This window comes from Homo sapiens, chromosome 18 (genome assembly GCF_000001405.40).
Source record: "Homo sapiens chromosome 18, GRCh38.p14 Primary Assembly".
Classification (NCBI taxonomy): Eukaryota; Metazoa; Chordata; class Mammalia; order Primates; family Hominidae; genus Homo; species Homo sapiens.
Genome location: NC_000018.10, coordinates 45,800,275 through 45,823,112, shown reverse-complemented (window position 1 = coordinate 45,823,112; position 22,838 = coordinate 45,800,275). Strand labels below are relative to the sequence as shown.

The window sequence follows — 22,838 nt, the reverse complement described above, 5'->3', positions numbered from 1 at the left end:
CTCTCCTAGGAAGTCTTCCTTGGCAGCCCAGTCTCATTTGGCTGCCTACCTGTGTGTTTTTCCACAGTTCTCTGTGCAACCTCTACCCCTAGGTATATCCCTTGACCTAGGATCTTTGATATTTTTGTCTATCTTTCCTCTAGACTTTAGGGAACTTGGGGATGTGGCTGTGACTTTACGTCTCCCTCACCAAGCACAGGGCCAAACCATACAGGGTACCTAATAAATAGTCCCGGAAGGCATGAATGCATCAGTGAAAGTATACCCCACTTGCAGCCTGATTATATTCTGTCTTGATTTATTTTCCAGTTGTTTCTTGGGCTAACCTGTTTTCTCTGATTGGATTATAAGTTCTTCAAGGAGAGATATATTTAATAGATATTCTTTTAAAAATCTTCAATTTTTAATTGTTTTTGATTAAAAGCATTTTAATCAACACATATTTGTTCATATTTATGGGGTACATAGTGATTTTTTGATATATACAATGTCTAGTGACCACATCAAGGCTATTAGCATATCCATCATCTTAAACATTTATAATTTCTTTGTTTTGGGAAAATTCAATATCCTTCTTCTAGCTATTTGAAACTATATGATCATATTTTTGTTAACTATAGTCATCCTACAGTGCTATAGAACACTAGAATTTATTCCTTCTATCTAGTTATAATTTTGTATCTTTTAACAAATCTCTCCCTATCCTCTCCTTTCCCTACCCTTCCCAAATTCTGGTATCCTCTGTTCTACTTTTTACTTCTATGAGATCAACTTTTTTTAATCTTCTGCATACGAGTGAGAATATGCAGTATTTAACTTTTTGTTTCTGACTTATTTCACTTAATGTCCTCCAGGTCTATCTATGTTGCCACGAATGACAGGATTTCATTCTTTTTTATGGCTGAATAATATTCCATTGTGTATACCACATATTCTTTCTCCATTCATCTGATGGTGGACACCCAGGTTGATTCTATATCTTGGGTCTGTGAATAGTGCTGCCAGAAACATGGGAATGAAGATGTCTTTTTCATATACTGAGTTTCTTTTCTTTGGATAAATGCCCCCTACTGGGATTGCTGAATCATATAGTAGTTCTATTTGTAGTTTTTGAGGAACCTCCATATTGTTCTCTATAGTGGCTTCACTATATGTAATTTTTTTGTCCCTTTGGTAATAGCTATTCTAACAAGGGTGAGGTGATATCTCATTGTGGTTTTGATTTGCATTTCCCTCATGATTAGTGACGTCAAGCATTTGTTCATATACCTGTTGGCCATTTGTATGTCTTCCTTTGAGAAATATCTGTTCAGATCATTTGCCCATTGTTAATTGCATTGTTTGTTTTGTTGCTGTTGAGATGCTTGAGTTCCTTATATATTTTGTATATTAACCCCTTGCAGAGGATGAATAGTTTGCAAATATTTACTCCCATTCTGCAGGTTGTCCTTTCATTCTGCTGATTACTTCCATTGCTATGCAGAAGGTTTTAGCTTGATATAATTTCGCTTGCTTATTTTTGCTTTTGTTGCCTGTGTTTTTGAGGTCTTACTCATCAAATCTTTCCCCAGATGTATGTCTTGAAATGTTTCCCCTATGTTTCCTTCTAGTGTTTTATAGCTTCGGGTTTTATATTTAGGTTAGATATTCTCATATAAAATGCCTTCTCTTTTTTGTCTTAGGCACCTTGTGATAAATTAGTATATATTCATTCATTAATTTGATTCCTAATCTTACTGATTTTAAAATAATTCCACATATAGCAACTTTGCATAAGTAAGATAAAGTTAGTTTGTTTTAGATATCCTTGGCACTGCCCCACATTGCTGCTTTATAGTGCATGCATGGATTTCTCACAGTGCTTCAGAGAGCACAGGAAACACATGTTTACAGGTTCTCAGAGAACATAAAGTCCATTCTCCATAGATACTGCTTAGCTGATAGTCATCAACAAGAAAACCGCTCTCATTCCTTGATGCTTTTTACTTTGCAATGTATTTTCACATCCGTGAGTCTATCCTACCCTTATAATATTTCTGGGAAGTGAACAGAGTAGAAATTATTTATCTGCACTTGACAAATGTATACAGTGAAATACTGTGGAAGCAGTCTCTGAACTTTATCAGATGATCCCTGGTTTTCATTGGTTCTTTTCTTGACTCTCATATACCTCATGTACGTTGTCCTGGGGGACTACTGTTTAGGGACTTGGTAATGAGTCTTTCCCAAACAAATTCTCAAACAGGTAAGAATATGTGAATCAGAAGCCATTGTGATTTATATTCCCCATGACATCATGTGGTATATAACCTGCACAAGGGTATGCGACAATCTTGTGTGAGTGTTGGGGAAAAGGTAAGGAAGGGTTGGAACATGAAACCAGGATTGTTTCTGGGGAGCTTAAGGGCCTCTCTCAGCCACCTGCCACTTGTAAGCAGGTTTGATTTGATGAAGATGAACCCCCAGCTGGCTCAGGTCCGTGGAACAGAGGTGTCAATCTCAGCAGCAGCAGGTGGTCATGTAGCAGCAAGGAGGAATGGCAGAAGAAGCCTGCGGGAACCCTCCAGGAGGGTGCAGGGATCCAGGCTGAACTGAATTTCTCATTCCTCAGCACCTGCCAACTCCATGCCTGCCCCCAGCCAGGTAAGGTGATGCTCCAATTCAGTGGGCCCCAGAACCAGGGCCAGCTACAAGGCTTGGGTGGTTAGGAAGCCAGGGAGGTCAAATCAGGTTTCTGCCTAGAGGCTGCCAGAGAGCAGAACATTTCCTAATACATGACATGGGGAACTTGAGTGAGGTCAGTGTAACACCAGCTTATATCACACTTAGATTGGGAAGAAGGACAGAATGCTTGGGGTTTTCTAAGTCATTCTCTATCAGAGTCCATGAGGCCATGCCCTCTTGCTCATTCTGGATGGAGATAGTCATTCTTCTCCATGCCTTCTCTTCTCTGGAAAACCCGGTTATTTTCAGCTTCCCATGCTGTTTTTTCCCTCTACCCTATCCATCACATGGGAAAGGCCATATTGTGTCCTGGCAAGAGCACAGTTTCTGCACCAGATGGGGGTGAAACTGGGTCCCAGCTTTCTCACTAACAACAGGATGACTTTGGGCAAATACATATTTTATTTCCTGTGCAAAATGAGGATGATGATGGCCTCCTTATGGTATTGCTACAAGAAAGACGGAGTGATATAAAAAGGGGTGATGCCTAGTGCCTGGCTCACAGTGTCTTCAACTAATCATCAGGAAAATGCAGCATGATCTTTTTATTTTGGATCCCACCTGTATGGAATACACATCAATTCAGATTCATCCTGAAAACAACATATTTCAGAAAAAACAACGTGAGTTCAAGAGTTAGACAGAAGATAATAGTGGAAAATAGATACCTGTGAGAGGCTGATTCAAGCATTTTAGAAACAATTGGTGAACTAATTAACACACCTATCTTCTATTAATTAATGTGCATCCTCTGAGGACCTGGGCAAGTCTTCATTGTTGGTTTAGTTGTTTTGAGAAGCAACACAATTGCTTTTTAAAATACAATTATATAATTTAGATATCTATATATTTTCTGCATTCTCAGTGCTCCCTAAATCCTCACCCCAACTTCTTCTCACTCCCCAGCTGTGTTTCCTTTCTGGCCTTGAACTTCTCAGCTGCTGAACTTTTTTCCTCCTCTCAGTACTTCAACAATTTCCCTTAAAGGGACGCTTCAGATCAATGAAACAAAGAGAGTTTATAAATAGCCTGCCAAGCAGAGGGAAACATAGCATAAGATATTTCAAATTATTGGAAAGAAGTGGATTATTTAATAATTGGTACTGGGAAAACTATTTGAATAAAAACAAAGCTACATATTCTTCTCAATTCTTAATCCATATTCCAGATGAGCAATTAATTAAAGGTAAAAATTGAAACCATAAACATGCAAGAAGAAAACATAGGTGATATTTAAATGAGTCATGAAATGGAGATATTTCTAAGTTTGGGGAAAAAATCCCAGAAACCATAAGGTTTTGATAAATTTGACCTCTTAAAAATTTTGCTTTAAAACTTGACTATTTAAAAGTTTAGGCCAGGCACGGTGGCTCACGCCTGTAATCTCAACACTTTGGGATGCCAAGGCGGGTGGATCATTTGTGGTCAGCATTTCGAAACCAGCCTGGCCAACATGGTGAAACCCCATCCCTACTAAAAATATGAAAATTAGCTGGGTGTGGTGCAGGGTGCCTGTAACCCAAATTATTCGGGAGGCAGAGGCACAAGAATCGCTTGAACCCAGGAGGCAGAGGTTGCAGAGAGCCGAGATCACGCCACTGCACTCCAGCCTGAGTGACAGAGCAAGACTCCATCGCAAAAAAAAAAAAAAAAAAAGTTATGCAAAAAAACCCCAATTAAAGTCAAAAGGCAAATGACGAAGTGGGGGAAAACATTTGCAGCATGTATGGTAGATAAGGACTAGTTTCTTTTGTTTTACACACTCACACAATACAGGATAGTTCACAGAAAAGTAATAAAAATGGCTGATAAATGTACTTAATGGTAACTAAAGAATTGCAAATTCAATGGATGATGAAATACCTGTTTCACCTATCAGACTGGCAAACATTTTAAAGATAGATGAAAACCTGACAAGAGTAGGGAAAGGGACTCTTAGCAATACAGGTGAATGTATCAACCAGTCATCTCTTTAGAAACAATTAGGCATAATCAATCAAGGTTGCAAATGTGTGTATCCCCTTATCCAGCAATTCTACTCCAAGGACTTGATTCTGTAGATGTTCTCACAGAAGTTGGCAAAAATATGCATATTAAAATCTTCCAAAATAAAGGAAAACAAAAAAAAAAAATAAAATCTTCCTTACAGTATTGTTTTGCTATAATAGACAACTGTAAACAACATGTATTATCATTAGCAGGGACTGGTCAAGTATTTAAATACCCATATAGTTAGATAATTTGAATCTATTAAAAAGATTAGAACATATATGTATGTGCTGATTTAGGAAGATTCTCAAGATAATATTGAATGGAAAAAATAAGGTATAGAATAGTCTATATAGTGTGATTTTACTTATGTTAACAGAAAAAGGGGCTATAAGCTTGTGTATGCATACATACTTTCTAGAAAGACTCAGAAGAAACAATGAAAGGTTATTGTCTCTGGGGAGGTGTGATAGTTTAAGTTTTTGTACACAAGTATACTCCTTCCTTCTTTCCTTCAAAAGATGGAACTTTATTCTCCTGTGGACTGGCCTTATTGACTCACCTCTAATGAATAGAATATGGCAGAAATGACAGTGTGTAACTTCTGAAATATATCATAAACGTCAATGTGGCTTCCTTGTTGCTCTCTCTTTTGTTACTCTGGAGGAAGCCAGCTGACATGTCATGAGGACTCTCAAGCAGCACTGTGGAGAGGCCCATGTGCTAAAGAACTGAGCCTTCTCACCAATAGCAGTGAGGGCCTGAGACCACCTGCCAATAGTCAGATGAATAAAACAACTTGGAAGCAGATCCTCCAGCTTCAGTCATGCCTTCAGATGATTGCAGCCCTGAAGATGCTGACATCTTAGCTGCAACCTCATGAGATACCCTGGGCCCAGCCACTCAGCTAAGTTGCTCATGAATTCCTCACTCACAGAATTATAAAATAAATGTTTGTTGATTTAAGCCATTAAGTTTTGGTGTCCTTGTAATTAGCAGTAAATAACTAATATAGAAGTAGAAGTGGTGGTAGAGAAAAGAAAGGAAAGAAACTTTTTTGAAATTTTTCTAAAAAAGGAAAGAGAGACATTTTTATTTTTATATTCTTTCATTCTTTTAAAACAATTTTTTATTCCCATAGGTTATTGGGGAACAGGTGGTGTTTGGTTACATGAGTAGGTTCTTTAGTGGTGATTTGTGAGATTTTGGTGCACCCATCACCTGAGAAGTATACAATGCATCCTATTTGTAGCCTTTTATCCCTCACCCACTTCCCACGCATTCCCCCTGAGTCTCCAAAATTCATTGTGTAGTTATTAAGCCTTTGCATCCTCTTAGCTTAGCTCCCACTTATGAGTGAGAACATAAGGTGTTTGGTTTTCCATTCCCGAGTTACTTCACTTAGAATAATAGTCTCCAGTCTCATCCAGGTTGCTGTGAATGCCATTAATTCATTCCTTTTTTATGGCTGAGTAGTATTCCACCACATATATACCACAGTTTCTTTATCCACTCATTGATTGATGGGCATTTGGATTGGTTCCACGTTTTTGTAATTAAGAATTGTGCTGCTATAAACATGCGTGTGCAAGTATCTTTTTTGTATAATGACTTCTTTTCCTCTGAGTAGACACCCAGTAGTGGGATTGCTAGCTCAATTGGTTGTTCTACTTTTAGTTCTTTAAGGAATCACCACACTGTTTTCCGTAGTGGCTGTACTTACATTCCCAACTGCAGCGTGGAAGTGTTCCCTCTTCGCCGCATCCACGCTAACATCTACTATTTTTTTATTATGGCCATTCCTGCATTATGTAAGTGGTATCGCATTATGGTTTTGATTTGCATTTCCCTGATCATTAGTGATGTTGAGCATTTTTTCATGTTTTTTGGCCATTTGTATATCTTCTTTTGAGAATTGTCTATTTATGTCCCTAGCCCACTTTTTGATGGGATTGTTTGTTTTTTTCTTGCTGATTTGTTTGAGTTTATTGTAGATTCGGGATATTAGTCCTTTGTCAGATGTATAGATTGTGAAGATTTTCTCTCTCTGTGGGTTGACTGTTTACTCTGCTGACGATACCTTTTGCTGAAACTCTTTAGTTTAATTAAGTCCAAGCTATTTATCTTTTTATTGCATTTACTTTTGGGTTCTTGGTCATGAAATTCTTGCCTAAGCCAATGTCTAGACGAGTTTTTCCAATGGTATCTTCTAGAATTTGTATAGTTTCAAGTCTTAGGTTTAAGTCCTTAATCCATCTTGAGTTGATTTTTGTGTAAGGTGAGAGATGAGGATCCAGTTTCGTTCTCCTGCACATGGCTAGCCAGTTATCCCAGCACCATTTGTTGAAAAGGGTGTGCTTTCTCCACTTTATGTTTTTGTTTGCTTTGTCAGGGATCAGGTGGCTGTAAGTATTTGGCTTTATTTCTGGGTTGTCTATTCTGTTCCATTAGTCTATGTGCCTATTTTTGTGCTAGCACTATGCTGTTTTTGTGACTATGGCCTTATAGTATAGTTTGAAATCAGGTAATGTGATGCTTCTAGATTTGTTCTTTTTGCTTAGTCTTGCTTTGGCTATGCGGGCTCTTTTTTGGTTCTATATGAATTTCAGAATTGCTTTTTCTAATTCTGTGAAGAATGATGGTAGTATCGTTGTGAATTGTGTTGAATTTGTAGATTGCTTTTGGCAGTATGGTCATTTTCACAATATTGATTGTATCCATGCATGAGCATGGGATGTGTTTCCATTTGTTTGTGTCATCTATGGTTTCTTTCAGCAATGTTTTGTAGTTTTCCTTGTAGAGGTCTTTCACCTCCTTGGTTAGGTAGATTCGTAAGTATTTTATTTTATTTTTTGCAACCATTGTGAAAGGGTTGAGTTCTTGATTTGATTCTCTGCTTGGTTGCTGTTGATGTATAGAAGAGCTACTAATTTGTGTACATTAATTTTGTATCTGGAAACTGCTGAATTCTTTTTTTTTTCAAATATTTTTGTCTTTTTATTTTTCTATAAGGTGCATATCACTTTGGTAATATTCTTCTAATGAGAAAAAAGTTTAAATAACTTGTAGTGAGTTCTCCAAGCCCTCCACCCAGCTCCATTCATAGTCATAAATACTTTTGGACCAAAAGAAAGAAGAAAACAATGAGCAATTACTAAGACTTACTGTTGGGTGGGCATATATCACATAGATGATCTCATTTAGTCCCGTAAATATGCATGTTGTCTCCATTTTTACTGATGAGAAAACTGAGTGTCAGATGAAATAAATGGTAGCTGTGCCTGAAGTCACACAGCTAGTAACAGATCTCATCTAGCAGGTCTACCCAACTGTAAGCTCCAGCCCTTTCCACTACAGCACACAGCAGAGGGCTCTCCTGAGAGCACTCACCTCTGAGGCCATGGTCAGCACTGAGAAGGGTGAAAATAAATCAGTTCCCAGGGTCATTGTCCTCTGATGTAAGCCCACCAGAAGTCAGGGACCTTTGCATTAGCAGAAGCTGGGTCAAAGCTGTGGGGGTGTATATTGGCTTGTAGTTAATGGATAACAATGTATTTGAGCATTGACCCATGATGAACAAGAACAACCAATATCATGCACTCACTGTAAACACCTGGCCAGAGAGTCTTGGGCTCAACTCCTGGCTGGATGTGTGGTCTTAGGCAGATAATTCAATTTCTCAGGATTTTGGTCACATCATTTCAAGAAAGTAGGGTTTGGCCTACTGACTCTCTAGGGACCCTTCAACCTCTAACACTTTATGATTCTTTGATGAGTCACAGATATCATGCACTTTTCTCTTTATCCCTAAATATTTCAGGTTCTAACTTTCTCTTACATAATAACTGTATAGTTATCAAATTTACAGAATTTAACATGTATGCATTATTACATAATTTGCATTCCATATACAAAATCTGCCAACTGTCCCATGGTGTTCTTTAGAGGAATTTTTACTTCTTATCTCAAGATCCAATCCAGGATCAAATTGATCCCATGTTGCATTTAGTTATGTAGTCTCTTTAGTCTTCTTTAATCTAGAACATTTCTCGAGCCTTTATCTCTCATGAATTAACATTTTGGAAGAGTACAAGCTAGTTGTCTTGCAGAATGCCCTTCAACTGGGTTTGTCTCGTCCTTCCTCATGATTAGTGTATGTTACCTGTCCCCTCTGGAATACCATAAAAGTGATGTTGTGTCCTTTTCAGTGCCTCGCATCAGGAAACACATGGTATCTGTCTGGCTTGTTATTGGTGATGTTGATTTTGATTATTTGGTTAAGGTGATGTCTTCCAGGTTCCTTTGGTTTATAATTATAATTTCTCCCTTTACAGTTATTAAGTAATCTGTGGGGAGATACTCAGAGAATATGTAGATAACCTCTCCCATTTCAAATTTTTACTCCCTAGTTTTAACATATATTGATGATTTTTTTTCAAATTTCTAAATTTTATTGGATAATTTTATTTTTTTAATTTTTTAAATTATTATACTTTAAGTTCTAGGGTACATCAGCACAATGTGCAGGTTTGTTACATATGTATACGTGCGCCATGTTGGTGTGCTGCACCCATTAACTCGTCATTTATATTAGGTATATCTCCTAATGCTATCCCTCCCCCTCCACCCACCCCATGACAGGCCCCAGTGTGTGATGTTCCCCTTCCTGTGTCCAGGTGTTCTCATTGTTCAATTCCCACCTATCAGTGAGAACATGCAGTGTTTGGTTTTTTGTCCTTGTGAGAGTTTGCTGAGAATGATGGTTTCCACCTTTATCCACGTCCCTACAAAGGACCTGAACTCATCCTTTTTATGGCTGCATAGTATTCCATGGTGTATATGTGCTACATTTTCTTAATCCAGTCTGTCATTGCTGGACATTTGGGTTGGTTCCAAGTCTTTGCTATTGTGAATAGTGCTGCAATAAACATACGTGTGCATGTGTCTTTATAGCAGCATGATTTATAATCATTTGGGTATATACCCAGTAATGGGATGGCTGGGTCAAATGGTGTTTCTAGCTCTAGATCCTTGAGAAATCGCCACACTGACTTCCACAAGGGTTGAACTAGTTTACAGTCCCACCAACAGTGTAAAAGTGTTCCTATTTCTCCACATCCTCTCCAGCACCTGTTGTTTCCTGACTTTTTAATGATTGCCATTCTAACTGGTGTGAGATGGTATCTCATTGTGGTTTTGATTTGCATTTCTTTGATGGCCAGTCATGATGAGCATTTTTTCATGTGTCTTTAGGCTGCATAAATGTCTTCTTTTGAGACGTGTCTGTTCATATCCTTTGCTCACTTTTTGATGGGGTTGTTTTTTTCTTGTAAATTTGTTTGAGTTCATTGTAGATTCTGTATATTAGCCCTTTGTCAGATGAGTAGATTGCAAAAATTTTCTCCCATTCTGTGGGTTGCCTGTTCACTCTAATGGTAGTTTCTTTTGCTGTGCAGAAGCTCTTTAGTTTAATCAGATCCCACTTGTCAATTTTGGCTTTTGTTGCCATTGCTTTTGGTGTTTTAGACATGAAGTCCTTGCCCATGCCTATGTCCTGAATGGTATTGCCTAGGTTTTCTTTTAGGGTTTTTATGGTTTTAGGTCTAACTTTTATGTCTTTAATCCATCTTGAATTAATTTTTGCATAAGGTGTAAGGAAGGGATCCAGTTTCAGCTTTCTACATATGGCTAGCCGGTTTTCCCATCACCATTTATTAAATAGGGAATCCTTTCCCCATTGCTTGTTTTTGTCAGGTTTGTCAAAGATCAGACAGTTGTAGATATGCGACATTATTTCTGAGGGCCCTGTTCTGTTCCATTGGTCTATATCTCTGTTTTGGTACCAGTACCAAGCTGTTTTGGTTACTGTAGCCTTGTAGTATAGTTTGAAGTCAGGTAGTGTGATGCCTCCAGCTTTGTTCTTTTGGCTTAGGATTGACTTGGCAATGAGGGCCCTTTTTTTGGTTCCATATGAACTTTAAAGTAGTTTTTTCCAATTCTGTGAAGAAAGTCATTGGTAGCTTGATGGGGATGGCATTGAATCTGTAAATTACCTTGGACAGTGTGGCCATTTTCACGATATTGATTCTTCCTACCCATGAGCATGGAATGTTCTTCCATTTGTTTGTGTCCTCTTTTGTTTTGTTGAGCAGTGGTTTGTAGTTCTCCTTGAAGAGGTCCTTCATATCCCTTATAAGTTGGATTCCTAGGTATTTTATTCTCTGTGAAGCAATGGCAAATGGGAGTTCACTCATGATTTGGCTCTCTGTTTGTCTGTTATTGGTGTATAAGAATGCTTGTGATTTTTGCAGATCGATTTTGTATCCTGAGACTTTGCTGAAGTTTCTTATCAGCTTAAGGAGATTTTGGGCTGAGACGATGGGGTTTTCTAGATATACAATCATGTCATCTGCAAACAGGGACAATTTGACTTCCTCTTTTCCTAATTGAATACCCTTTATTTCTTTCTCCTGCCTGATTGCCCTGGCCAGAACTTCCAACACTATGTTGAATAGGAGTGGTGAGAGAGGGCATCCCTGTCTTGTGCCAGTTTTCAAAGGGAATGCTTCCAGTTTTTGCCCACTCAGTATGATATTGGCTGTGGGTTTGTCATAAATAGCTCTTATTATTTTGAGATACATCACATCAATACCCAATTTATTGAGAGTTTTTAGCATGAAGTGTTGTTGAATTTTGTCAAAGGCCTTTTCTGCATCTATTGAGATAATCATGTGGTTTTTGTCTTTGGTTCTGTTTATATGCTGGATTATGTTTATTGATTTGCGTATGCTGAACCAGCCTTGTATCTCAGGGATGAAGTCCACTTGATCATGGTGGATAAGCTTTTTGATGTGCTGCTGGATTCGGTTTGCCAGTATTTTATTGAGGATTTTTGCATCAATGTTCATCAGGGATATTGGTCTAAAATTCTCTTTTTTGTGTGTGTGTGTCTCTGTCAGGCTTTGGCATCAGGACGATGCTGGCCTCATAAAATGAGTTAGGGAGGATTCCCTCTTTCTCTATTGATTGGAATAGTTTCAGAAGGAATGGTACCACCTCCTCCTTGTACCTCTGGTAGAATTTGAAACTGCTGAATTCTTTTATCAGTTCTAGGAGCTTTCTAGAGGAATTGTTAGGGTTTTCTAGGTAAACAATCATATCATCAGCAAAGTGACAGTTTGACTTCCTCCTTACTGATTTGGATGCCCTTTATTTCTTTCTCTTGTCTGACTGCTCTGGCTAGGACTTCCAGTAATATGTTGAAGAGGAGTGGTGAGAGTGGGCGTCCTTATCTTGTTTCAGTTCTCAGAGGGAATGCTTTCAACTTTTTCCCATTCAGTATTATATTGGCTGTGGGCTTGTCATAGATGGCCTTTATTACATTGAGGTATGTCTCTTGTATGCCAATATTGCTGAGAGTTTTAATTATAAAGGGATACTGGATTTTGTCAAACGCTTTTTCTGCATCTATTGAGATGATTATGTGATTTTTGTTTTTAATTCTGTTTATGTGTTGTATCACATTTATTGACTTGCATATGTTAAACCATCCCTACATCCCTGCTATGAAATCCACTTGATCATGGATCATGGAGTATTATCTTTTTTTTTGTTGTTGTTAGACAGAGTCCCACTCTGTCACCTAGGCTAGGGTGCAGTGGCACTATTTCGGCTCACTGCAACCTCCGCCTCCCAGGTTCAAGTGATTCTCCTGTCTCAGCTTCCTGAGTAGCTGGGATTACAGGTGTGCGCCACAATGCCTGGCTAATTTTTGTATTTTTAGTAGAGACAGGGTTTTGCCATGTTAGCCAGGCTAGCCTTGGGTGATCCACCCACCTGGGTCTCCCAAAGTGCTGGGATTACAAGCATGAGCTACTGAGCCCGGCCGGATTATCTTTTTGATATGTTGTTGGCTTTGGTTAGCTAGTATTTTGTTAAAGATTTTAGCATCCATGTTCATTGGGGATATTGGTCTGTAGTTTTCTTTTTTGGTTTTGTCCTTTCCTGGTTGTGGTGTTAGGATGATGCTGGCTTCATAGAATGATTTAGGAAGGGTTCCTTCTTTCTCCATCTTGTGGAATAGTGTCAATAGGATTGGTACCAATTCTTTTTTGAATGTCTGGTAGAATTCTGCTGTGAATCCGTCTGGTCCTGGCCTTTTTTTGTTGGTAATTTTTAAATTACCATCTCAATCTCACTGCTTGATATTGGTCTGTGCAGGGTGTTTAATTCTTCCTGATTTAAGCTAGGAGAGTTGTATCTTTCTAAGAATTTATCCATCTCTTCTAGGTTTTCTAGTTTATGCACATAAAGATGTTCATAGTATCCTTGAATGATCTTTTGTATTTCTGTGGTTTCAGTTATAATATCTCCCATTTCATTTCTTATTGAGCTTATTTGGATTTTCTCCTTTTCTTGGTTAACTTTGCTAGTAGTCTATTAATTTTATTTATCTTTTTAAAGAACCAGGCTTTTGTTTCATTTATCTTATGTATTTTTTTGTTTCAATTTCATTTGGTTCTGCTCTAATCTTGGTTATTTCTTTTCTTCTGTTGGGTTTGGGTTTGGTTTGTTCTTGTTTCTCTAGTTCTTCGAGGTGTGAACTTAGATTATCTGTTTGTGCTCTTTCAGACCTTTTGATGTGGGCATTTAGGGCTATGAACTTTCCTCTTAGCACCGCCTTTGCTGTATCCCAGAGGTTTTGATAGGTTGTGTCACTATTGTCGTTTAGTTCAAAGAACTTTTTAATTTTCATCTTGATTTCACTTCTGACCCAATGATCATTCAGGAACAGGTTATTTAATTTCCATGTATTTGCATGGTTTTGAAGGTTCCTTTTGGAGTTGATTTCCAGTTTTATTCCACTGTGGTCTGAGAGAGTGCTTGATATGATTTCCATTTTCTTAACTTTATTGAGGCTCATTTTGTGGCCTATCATATGGTCTATCTTGGAGAAGGTTCCATGTGCTGTTGAATAGAATGTATAGTCTGCAGTTGTTAGATGGAATGTTCTGTATATATCTGTTAATTCCATTTGTTCTAGGGTATAGTTTAATTCAATTTTTTTTGTTGCCTTTCTGCCTTGATGACCTCTCTAATCCTGTTAGTGTAGTATTGAAGTCCCCCACTATTATTGTGTTGCTGTCTATCTCACTTTTTAGGTCTAGTAATTGTTTTATAAATTTGGGAGCTCCAGTGTTAGATGCATATATATTTAGGATTGTGATATTTTCCTGTTGGACAAGGCCTTTTATCATTAAATAATGTCCTTCTGTCTTTTTAAACTGCTGTCACTTTAAAGTTTGTTTGAATAGCTACTCCTGCTCACTTTTGGTGTCAATTTGCATGAAATGTCTTTTTCCACCCCTTTACCTTAAGTTTATGTGAGTCCTTATGTGTTAGGTGAGCCTCCTGAAGGCAGCAGATAGTGGTTGGTGAATTCTTATCTACTCTGCAATTCTGTGTCTTTTAAGTGGAATATTTAGGCCATTTACACTCAATGTTAGTATTGACATATCAGGTAGCATTCCATTCATCGGCTATTTGTTGCCTGTATACCTTGTTTTTTTGTTTTTATTTTTTAATTGTATTTTTGTTTTATAGGTCCTGTGATATTTATGCTTTAAATATCAAAATATGTTTTGATGTGTTTCCAAGATTTGTTTCAAGGTTTAGAACTTCTTTTAGCAGTTCTTGTAGTGGTGGCTTGGTAATGGCAAATTCTCTCAGTATTTGTTTGAAAAAGACTATCTTTTCTTTGTATATGAAGCTTGGTTTCACTGGATACAAAATTGTTGGTTGATAATTGTTTTGTTTGAGGAGGCTGAAGATAGGCCCCCAATCCCTTCTAGCGTGTAGGATTTCCACTGAGAAATCTGCTGTTAATCTGATAGGTTTTCCTTTATAGGTTACCTAGTGCCTTTATCTCACAGCTCTTAAGATTCTTTCCTTTGTCTTAACTTTACATAACCTGTTGACAACGTGCATAGGTATGATCTTTTTGTGATGAATTTCCCAGGTGTTTTTTGTGTTTCTTGTATTTGGATGTCTAGATCTCTAGCAAGTCTGGGGAAGTTTTCCTTGATTATTCCCCCAAATAGGTTTTCCAAACTTTCAAATGTCTGTTCTTCCTCAGGAACACTGATTATTCTAGGTTTGGTCATTTAATAGAATCCCAGACTGCTTGGAGGCTTTGTTCATATTTTCTTATCTTTTTTCTTTGTCTTTGTTAGACTGGGTTAATTTGAAGACCTTGTCTTCAAGCTCTGAATTTCTTTCTTCTACTTGTTCGATTCTATTGCTGAGACTTTCCAGAGCATTTTGCATTTCTATAAGTGTGTCCATTGTTTCCTGAAGTTTCTATTGTTTTTTATTTTTGTTATCTATTTCATTGACTATTTCTCCCTTCACTTCTTGTATCATTTTTTTGATTTCCTTACGTTGGGCTTTGCCTTTCTCTAGTGCCTCCTTAATTAGCTTAATAACTAACCTCCTGAATTCTTTTTCAGGTAAATCAGGGATTTCTTCTTGGTTTGAATCCATTGCTGATGAGCTAGTGTGATTCTTTTGGAGGTATTAACCTTGTTTTGCCATATTACCAGAGTTGGTTTTCTGGTTCCTTCTCATTTGGGTAGGTTCTGTCAGAGGGAAGGTCTACGGCTGAAGTCTGTTGTTCAGATTTTTTTTGTCCCACAGGGTGTTCCCTTGATGTAGAACTCTCTCCCTTTTCCTATGGATGTGGCTTCCTGAGAGCCGAGCTGTAGTGATTGTTTTCTCTCTTTAGGACCTTGCCACCCAGTAAGTCTACCAGGCTCTGGTCTGGTATTGGGAGTTTTCTGCACAGAGTCCTGTGATGTGAACCGTCTGTGGGTCTCTCAGCTGTGGATACCAGCACCTGTTCTAGTGGAGGTGGCAGGGAGGTGAAATGGACTCTGTGAGGGTTCTTAGCTTTGGTGGTTTAATGTAGTATTTTTGTGCTGGTTGGCCTCCTGCCAGGAGGTGGCGCTTTCCAGAGAGCATCAGCTGCAGTAGTATGGGGAAGAACAGGTGGTGGGCAGGGCCCTAGAACTCCCAAGAGTATATGCCCTTTGTCTTCAATTACCAGGGTGGATAGGGAAGGACCATTGTGTGGGGGCAGGGCTAGGCATGTCTAAGCACAGACTCTCCTTGGGCAGGTCTTGCTGCATCTGCTGTGGGGGATGGAGATGAGGCTCCCAGGTCAATGGAGCTATGTTCCTACAAGGATTATAGATGTCTTTACTGTGTCATGCAGGTTGTCAGAGCAGTGCAGGAAAGCCAGCAGTTACAGGTCTCACCCAGCTCCCACATAATCCGAAGGGCTGGTCTCACTTTCACTGTGCCCCCTGCCCCCCGCCTGCCAATAGCACTGAGTCTGTTTCCAGGCAATGGGCGAGCAGGGCTGAGAACTTGCCGCACGATACCTGCCTCCCAGCTGCAGTAGCAAGTATGTCTTTCCTTCTTCCCCTGCCTGTGGAGTCTGCACACCAGATTCATGCCCTCCCCTGAGTTCTGACCAGGAGAGTTCTCCACCAGTTCAAATTGTTTCAAAGTTCAGCTGAAGATGTCCTTCTCTCTGTGGCCTTTTCCCAGTGCCTCTGGCTGCCCTTCTGAAGGATCCCGTGAGGCCAGGCAGAAATGGTTTGCTAGGGGACCCAGCGAGCTCACAAGTCTTTCCTCATTGCTTCCTCTGCCCCTGTATTTTGCTAGGCTCTCTAAATTGACTCGGCTTCAGGTAAGGTCAGAGTCTTCTCCTGTATTAGTCTTCTCCTGTATTCTAGACCTTCAGTTTCCCCAGTTGGGGTGTGGGGGTGGGGAGGTGTGTTCAGGGGCAGACAATGTCCCTTTCCCACTTGTACAGTTTGGGCACTCACAGTATTTGTTGTGTCTCCCAGGCAATCTGCTTCCTTCAGAGGGTCTGTGGGTCCTGTGAGGTTTCCTGATTTATTCCTGCAGTCATTCTGGAGCAAAAATTCATGATGCAAGCCTCCACATGCTGCTCTGTGCGTCTGAGTCAGAACTGCAATCTAGTCCTGCCTCCCGCCCACCATGATCCCCTTATCTTTATATTCTTTTACACTGTTTTCATTTTTCTGTTATCTGAATATATTAATTTATGGTAAAAATAGTTTTCCTTTATATTCAGCTCTTGAAGTATCTGCTTTTCACTACCCCCAAACTAGCTAATTTGGCAAATTAATCCCTGGCAATGGGATACTATTGAGCTGATAAATTTTCCCCTCCCAGATAAGTCGCTAATAATAACCAGTAAGTATAGTGGATTTACAGTGTGCCCAGACTGGGCTAAACTATTTGCTTGTTTAATCTTTATACCAATTTCAAACAGTGAGTTTATTTCCATTTTATAAATAAAAAAGGTAGTTGGTAGCATTATTCAGATCATCTATGTTTCCTGAATTTTTATCTTAATTTTTCTATCAAATGCTGAGAGAAGGATGCTAAAATCTTCAAAACTCTACAAAAATCTATGGTTGTAGAATTGTCTATTTCTTCCTTTAGCTCTATCAATTTTTGTTTTATATATTTTAAAGTGCTGTTGTTAGGCACATGCACATACAAGACTGTTATGTTTTCCCAATGACATTTTAATCATTGTGAAATATCCCTCCTAATCTTTGGTAATACTTCTGTGTTGAATGATCTGGCTTTTTCTGGCATGGCATTGCATATACTTTTGCATCTATTTACTTTCACTCTATCTGTATAATTATATTCAAAGTGGGTCCCATTCACAGCATATCTTTAAATCTTACTTTTGTTTTTAAGCCATTACAACAAGCTCTGCTATTTCTTTTTTTTTAGCTAATTGGAAATTTTTGCCTATTAACATTTAATATTATTCTGATTATATTTTGATACACCATTTTATTTGTTTTCTTTTTTGCCCCTCTGATTTTTGTTCTTCTGTTACTTCTTTCTTGTCTTTTTTTTTTTTTTTACAGAAGCTCTTTATTTTGTTTAAATTTTAGATTTACATAAAAGTTGCAAAAATAGTACAGAGAGTTCCTGTATACCTCTCACCCAGTTTCTGCTGAAGTTAACATCTTACATTATCACAGTACATTCATCACAACTAAGAAACTAACATTAGTACACTACTATTAATTAAGTGCCAGACTTTATTCAGATTTCTTTGTTTCTTCACAAATAACCCCTTTTTCCTGTTTCAGGAGCCAATCTAGGGTACCATATTGCATTTAGTGCCTTTTAGAAATTATTATTTGGACATGTTTTAGAATTCCAGTTTAATTTACATATTAATGTTTTTTCTATATATTATTGTAGTTTTTACCCAATGTCCGCTCTAAGAATCACGATATACATTCTTAACTTTTTATAATCTGATTTGAGTTTACATTGTCCCACTTTGCATAAAATATGCAAACCTTGCAATCGTATAGGTCCTCTTATACCTGCCCCCAGCATTCCTTTGTGTTATGATTACCATATGACATTTATATACATTATGCATCCTACAATGCAAGGTCATAATTTTTGCCTTGAATAGTGATATATATTGGAAAGGAATTAGGCTGGAAAAGCAGTTTTTTCTATTTGCTAGTTTTGATGTTCTTCATGTCTAAAGATCCATATTTTCATTTGATATCATTTATCTTCAGATAAAGAACTTTCTTTAGCATTTCTTATAATAAAGGTCTGCTAGTGATAAATTCTCTTAGTTTTCTTTTATTTGGAAAGTCTTTATTCTGCTTCATATTTGATAGATATTGCTTTTAGTGCTTTGAGAATGTTGGTTCACTGTGTTGGCCTCCATTGCTTCTGATATAAGAAATCAACAGTCATTTGACTCATTATTCTCCTCTGTGTAATGTGCTGTTTTTCTCTGCATGCTTTTGACACTTTGCCATTCATTTGACTCTAATGTGCCCAGGCATGTTTTTCTTTTATTTAACTTGATTGGGATTTGCTGAGCTTCTTAGATTTGTAAATTTATGTCTTTTGCCAAATTTGGGGACTTTTTGGCCATTATTTATTCAAATAATTTTTTTCTACCCCATGTCCTCTGTTCTTCTAGGAGTTCAATTGTAGGTATGTTAGACCTTTCAATACCACCCTTTAGGTACTATCATTTTTATCTCTGTCTTTCAGATTGGATATTTTCTGTTGATCTCTCTTTAGATTCACCTACTCTTTCATCTGTTTTAAAAAATTATGTTAAGCCCCATCCAGTTAATTTTTTAAAATTAGATACTGTATTTTTTAGTTATAGAATTTCCATTTGATTATAATTTTAGGCGTCTCTATTTAGGTGATGATACTAACTATGTTTTAATCATTATAAGCACATTTTTCCTTATGTCATTTAGTATAGTAAGAATTGCCATTTTAAAATAAATTTCTATTAATTTCAATATCTGTGTCATCTTGAGCTTGACTTTTGCCTATTATATTTACTCTTGAGAATACATCACATCTTCCTGTCTCTCAATATGTCAAGAAATTTTGGATTGTACTCTGGATATTGTGAATGTCATATTGTGGAGACTGGATTCAGTTGTATTCTTTCAAAGAGTTTTGAATTTTTCATTTTAATGAGAAATTAACTTGTTATGGTTCAAACTGCAAATTCTGTTTTTTTCTGAGTGGCCCCTCATATCTGCTTTTTGTTCTTTCACCCTTAGATAGGGTGCTTACAATCTCTGCTGTACATGGGTGTTTGGGGGTCAGGCAAAAATTGGGGCAGACTTTATACATGGAATTTGGGATTTTCTTTCTCTGGCTCTCTCCCTTTGAGGATTCTCCCTCACTTTCTAGCAGCTGGGGTTGCCCTCAAACTCTGTCTGCCAGTTCTTCAGGCCAGAAAGATGGTGAGTTTCTTCTCAGTTTTAGCTGCCCCTCAGGACAGTGACTGCAGCTGACCATCAGGCCAAAAGTGGTAAAAACAGGAGAATAACCTCCTACTAACCCTTTCTTCCAAGTGTTAACTTCCCCCTGGAGCCTGCTTGCTGTTGTATACTCTCCAGGGCCTTCAGATAGATTTTGTCCTCTCCCAACCCCTGAGTTTATAGTTGTTATTGGCAGGAAGCTCAGTACAGTAAGCGTTTACTCAGCCATACCAGAAGTGGAACTCGATCCAGATCCTGATTCCTAGCCACTGAGTTGTACTGACTGTCACATAGTAAAATGGCTCTTCTGGCCTCATCCCATATTTTATAAAGGATCATTGCTCTGAGAAATGTCTCAAATGATAGGTTTTCAGATATTATGTAAGGCTGATAATGTCTTTGGAGATAGGGACTTTTCTCAATGCTTTTCAAATTACAATGCCCAGTCCATCTATAGACAAGCACCTCCACCACCACCTCCTTTTTTTCCTATAGAGAAAGTAATGACTCTGTACATAAACAGGAGATACTGACTCATGAAGGGCTAAGCTGGCCTCTGTGAGTGACTCACTATGCCTTAAGAGACTGGGGGAAGGGGCCATGTGGTCAGGCCACCTACTAATGCTGGGTTCTGACTTGACTAGATTTAGAGCAAATTGACCCTGATTTGGGAAAGGTATAAACTTGATTTACCAGGTCATTAGAAGACATTTTCTGTTCACTTTTATTTACCATCAAGAGAGCATGAGATCCTAGGATGTGATTAGAAATGAGCAAATAAATGCAATTTGAATTAAGTCATTCAGTCATGCAGAGTGAGGGTGGGGCAGAAGGTGAGGAGAGGCAGTAGGACAGTGTGGGGAAAGGTATTGGGCACAAGTGGGCCCTGTTGGGCTTAGTCCCCACCTCCTCCCTTCTCTGGGCACTGGGGTGGGGTTGGAAGTTTGGATGTAGCTGGAAAGGACCAGAGACTTTTTTTTTTGTTTTTTGTTTTTGAAATGGAGTCTTGCTCTGTCGCCCAGGCTGGAGTGCAGTGGTGTGGTCTCAGCTCACTGCAATCTCTACCTCCCAGGTTCAGGAGAATCTCCTGCCTCAGCCACCTGAATAGCTGGGACAACAGGTGCATGCCATCATGCCCGGCTAATTTTTGTATTTTATTAGAGATGGGGTTTTGCCATGTTGGCCAGGCTGGTCTTGAACTCCTGACCTCAAATGATCCACCTGCCTCGGCCTCCCAAAGTGCTAGGATTACAGACGTGAGCCACCATGCCTAGCCTGAACCAGAGTCATAAAGATCAGTGCCAGTACTTGTTGTAGCTTCAGTCTTCCCTGACTGGAGAGTGTTGGGGACTTGGATTGTTGTGGGGAGTCTCCAAGGAAGGGCCACTCCATCACATCAGCACTCCACCAAGGGAGGATCACAGGGAACAGGAGGCAAGGCAGGAAGAGCTGGGGGTAGGAGGGAGTGGACACTGCAGGGTGAGGTGCCACAGGACAAAACCATCCTTGCTGCCCCCTGTCAACCCTTCCGCCATCAGAGCTGATGAGGCAGGACCCAGAGAGCCCTCAGAGAGTGTGATAAAGCTCAGCCCTCCCTAGGGTGGGCACTGCTCCTCCCTCTCAGGAGAGCCCTGAAGGGGGTGGATGCCAAAGCTGTCCCCTGGTGGCTGTAACTGCCATCTGAACTCCTACCAGCTGGCCTTCCTTCCTGTGGACTAAGTGGCTTCAGCTGCACACAGTGACCTTCAGGAGGAGAAATGCAGTTTCCTGTACCCCTTCCTCCTGGGAGTGGGACTGTAAGTGATTAAGGGAGTAGGAGAAGGGAAGGAACAGGGGGATTAAAGACTGGGAAAGGAATGGAAGGGAGGGAGGGGAATGAATAAAACTGACAGGAATGACAAGAGGGTGTGTTGTGCAATTGTCACAAATTCTGGGTTGCACACTAAGCTCAGTGCCATCCCTTCTTCCCTGGCACTACCTTCTCCTCCAAGTTTGGGCAGGTCCTTTTCCTGCTGGTTTCCTGTTTCATAACTGTCAAGTTTTGCTCACCAGCACCCTCCATCAAATGTTTAAAAGCCAATTACTGGGAAGGCCAAGGGAGGAGGATTGCTTGAGCTCAGGAGTTCGAGACCAGCCTGGACAACATAGTGAGACCCTGTCTCAAAAAACAAACACACAGGGCCGGATGTGGTGGCTCACGCCTGTAATCCTAGCACTTTGGGAGGCTGAAGTGGGCAGATCACTTGAGGTCAGGAGTTCAAGAACAGCCTGGCCAACGTAGTGAACCTTGTCTCTACTAAAAATACAAAAATTAGCCAGGTGTGGTAGCACGCACCTGTAATCCCAGCTACTTGGGAGGCTAAGGCAGGAGAACTGCTTGAACCCAGGAGGCAGAGGTTGCAGTGAGCTGAGATCGTACCACTGCACTCCAGCCTGGGTGACAAAGCGAGACTCCATCTCAAAAAAACCGAAAAACAACCCCCCATTCAAAACACAAAAACCCAAACACACAAAACAAAAAAATTTAAGAAAGTAGGAGGAAGATGCTTTGGAGTCTATACACCACCTCTTTCAAAAATGCTCACCTGAATTTCCTGCAACCAGTGTTCCCTCCTTCCAAACAGGTATCAAGACGCTCACCTTTTAAGAGGCTTGCCCTAACTGGAGTGCTGGAGTCTGAACTTTCTTTGAACATCGTTTGATCTCAGATGCAGCCAGTCCTGTGCACAGCCTGATGGGATGGAATGTTCAGGATCATCATGTGATTCCCCTGGGTGGCCTAGCTGAGGGACACAAATTTCCCCAGGCAGAGAAGACAGCACAGGAGGAAGAAGCTCCAATATCGAGAGTGAGAGGGCTGCAAATTCGTCAAGAGCTGGCACCTCCAACCAAAAATGTGCAGTTATCGATCAATAAAACCAGCTTTTGTTTTAATTTTTGACTTTTTGATTTTTAGTTTTTTCCTCCCCAGCCATCATGGTGCTGCATGCCCATTGTAGAAATCTGAGAAAATGATAAAGAGGTTGATGAAAACTGTCTATGAAGTTACTACCCACTGTATTTTTCATCTATTTTTTTCTTTTATACCTGAGATAAAATAGTGTATACTATTTTTTTTTTTATTTTTGTGAGAGAGGGTCTTACTGTGTTGCCAAGGCTGGTCTTGAACTCCAGGGTCCTCCTGCCTCAGGCTCCTGAGTAGCTGAGATTACAGGTATGCACCACACGTTCAGCTATCCT

General features: G+C 39.4%; 1 protein-coding gene across 5 annotated transcripts in view, besides 1 other annotated feature; it reads left to right on the top strand.

Annotated features, from left to right (window-relative positions):
- The window catches only part of EPG5 (ectopic P-granules 5 autophagy tethering factor), a 166,749-nt gene extending 144,217 nt beyond the window's left edge, over positions 1-22,532 (top strand). For all 5 annotated transcript variants that reach the window (XM_047437710.1, XM_047437706.1, NM_001410858.1 and 2 more), the window contains one exon: positions 22,223-22,532. In XM_047437710.1, the coding sequence (XP_047293666.1) occupies positions 22,223-22,300 (78 nt within the window). In that variant the 3' untranslated portion in view covers positions 22,301-22,532. The remainder of the gene's footprint in view (positions 1-22,222) is intronic.
- Positions 16,392-16,893: an enhancer, noted in NCBI's record as "H3K27ac hESC enhancer chr18:43386185-43386686 (GRCh37/hg19 assembly coordinates)". NCBI's record gives its function as "activates a minimal SCP1, AML or CMV promoter by ChIP-STARR-seq in naive H9 embryonic stem cells {active_cell/tissue: H9 hESC(naive)}" and the evidence as "EXISTENCE:reporter gene assay evidence [ECO:0000049][PMID:30033119]".
- Positions 22,533-22,838: the final 306 nt, after the last annotated feature.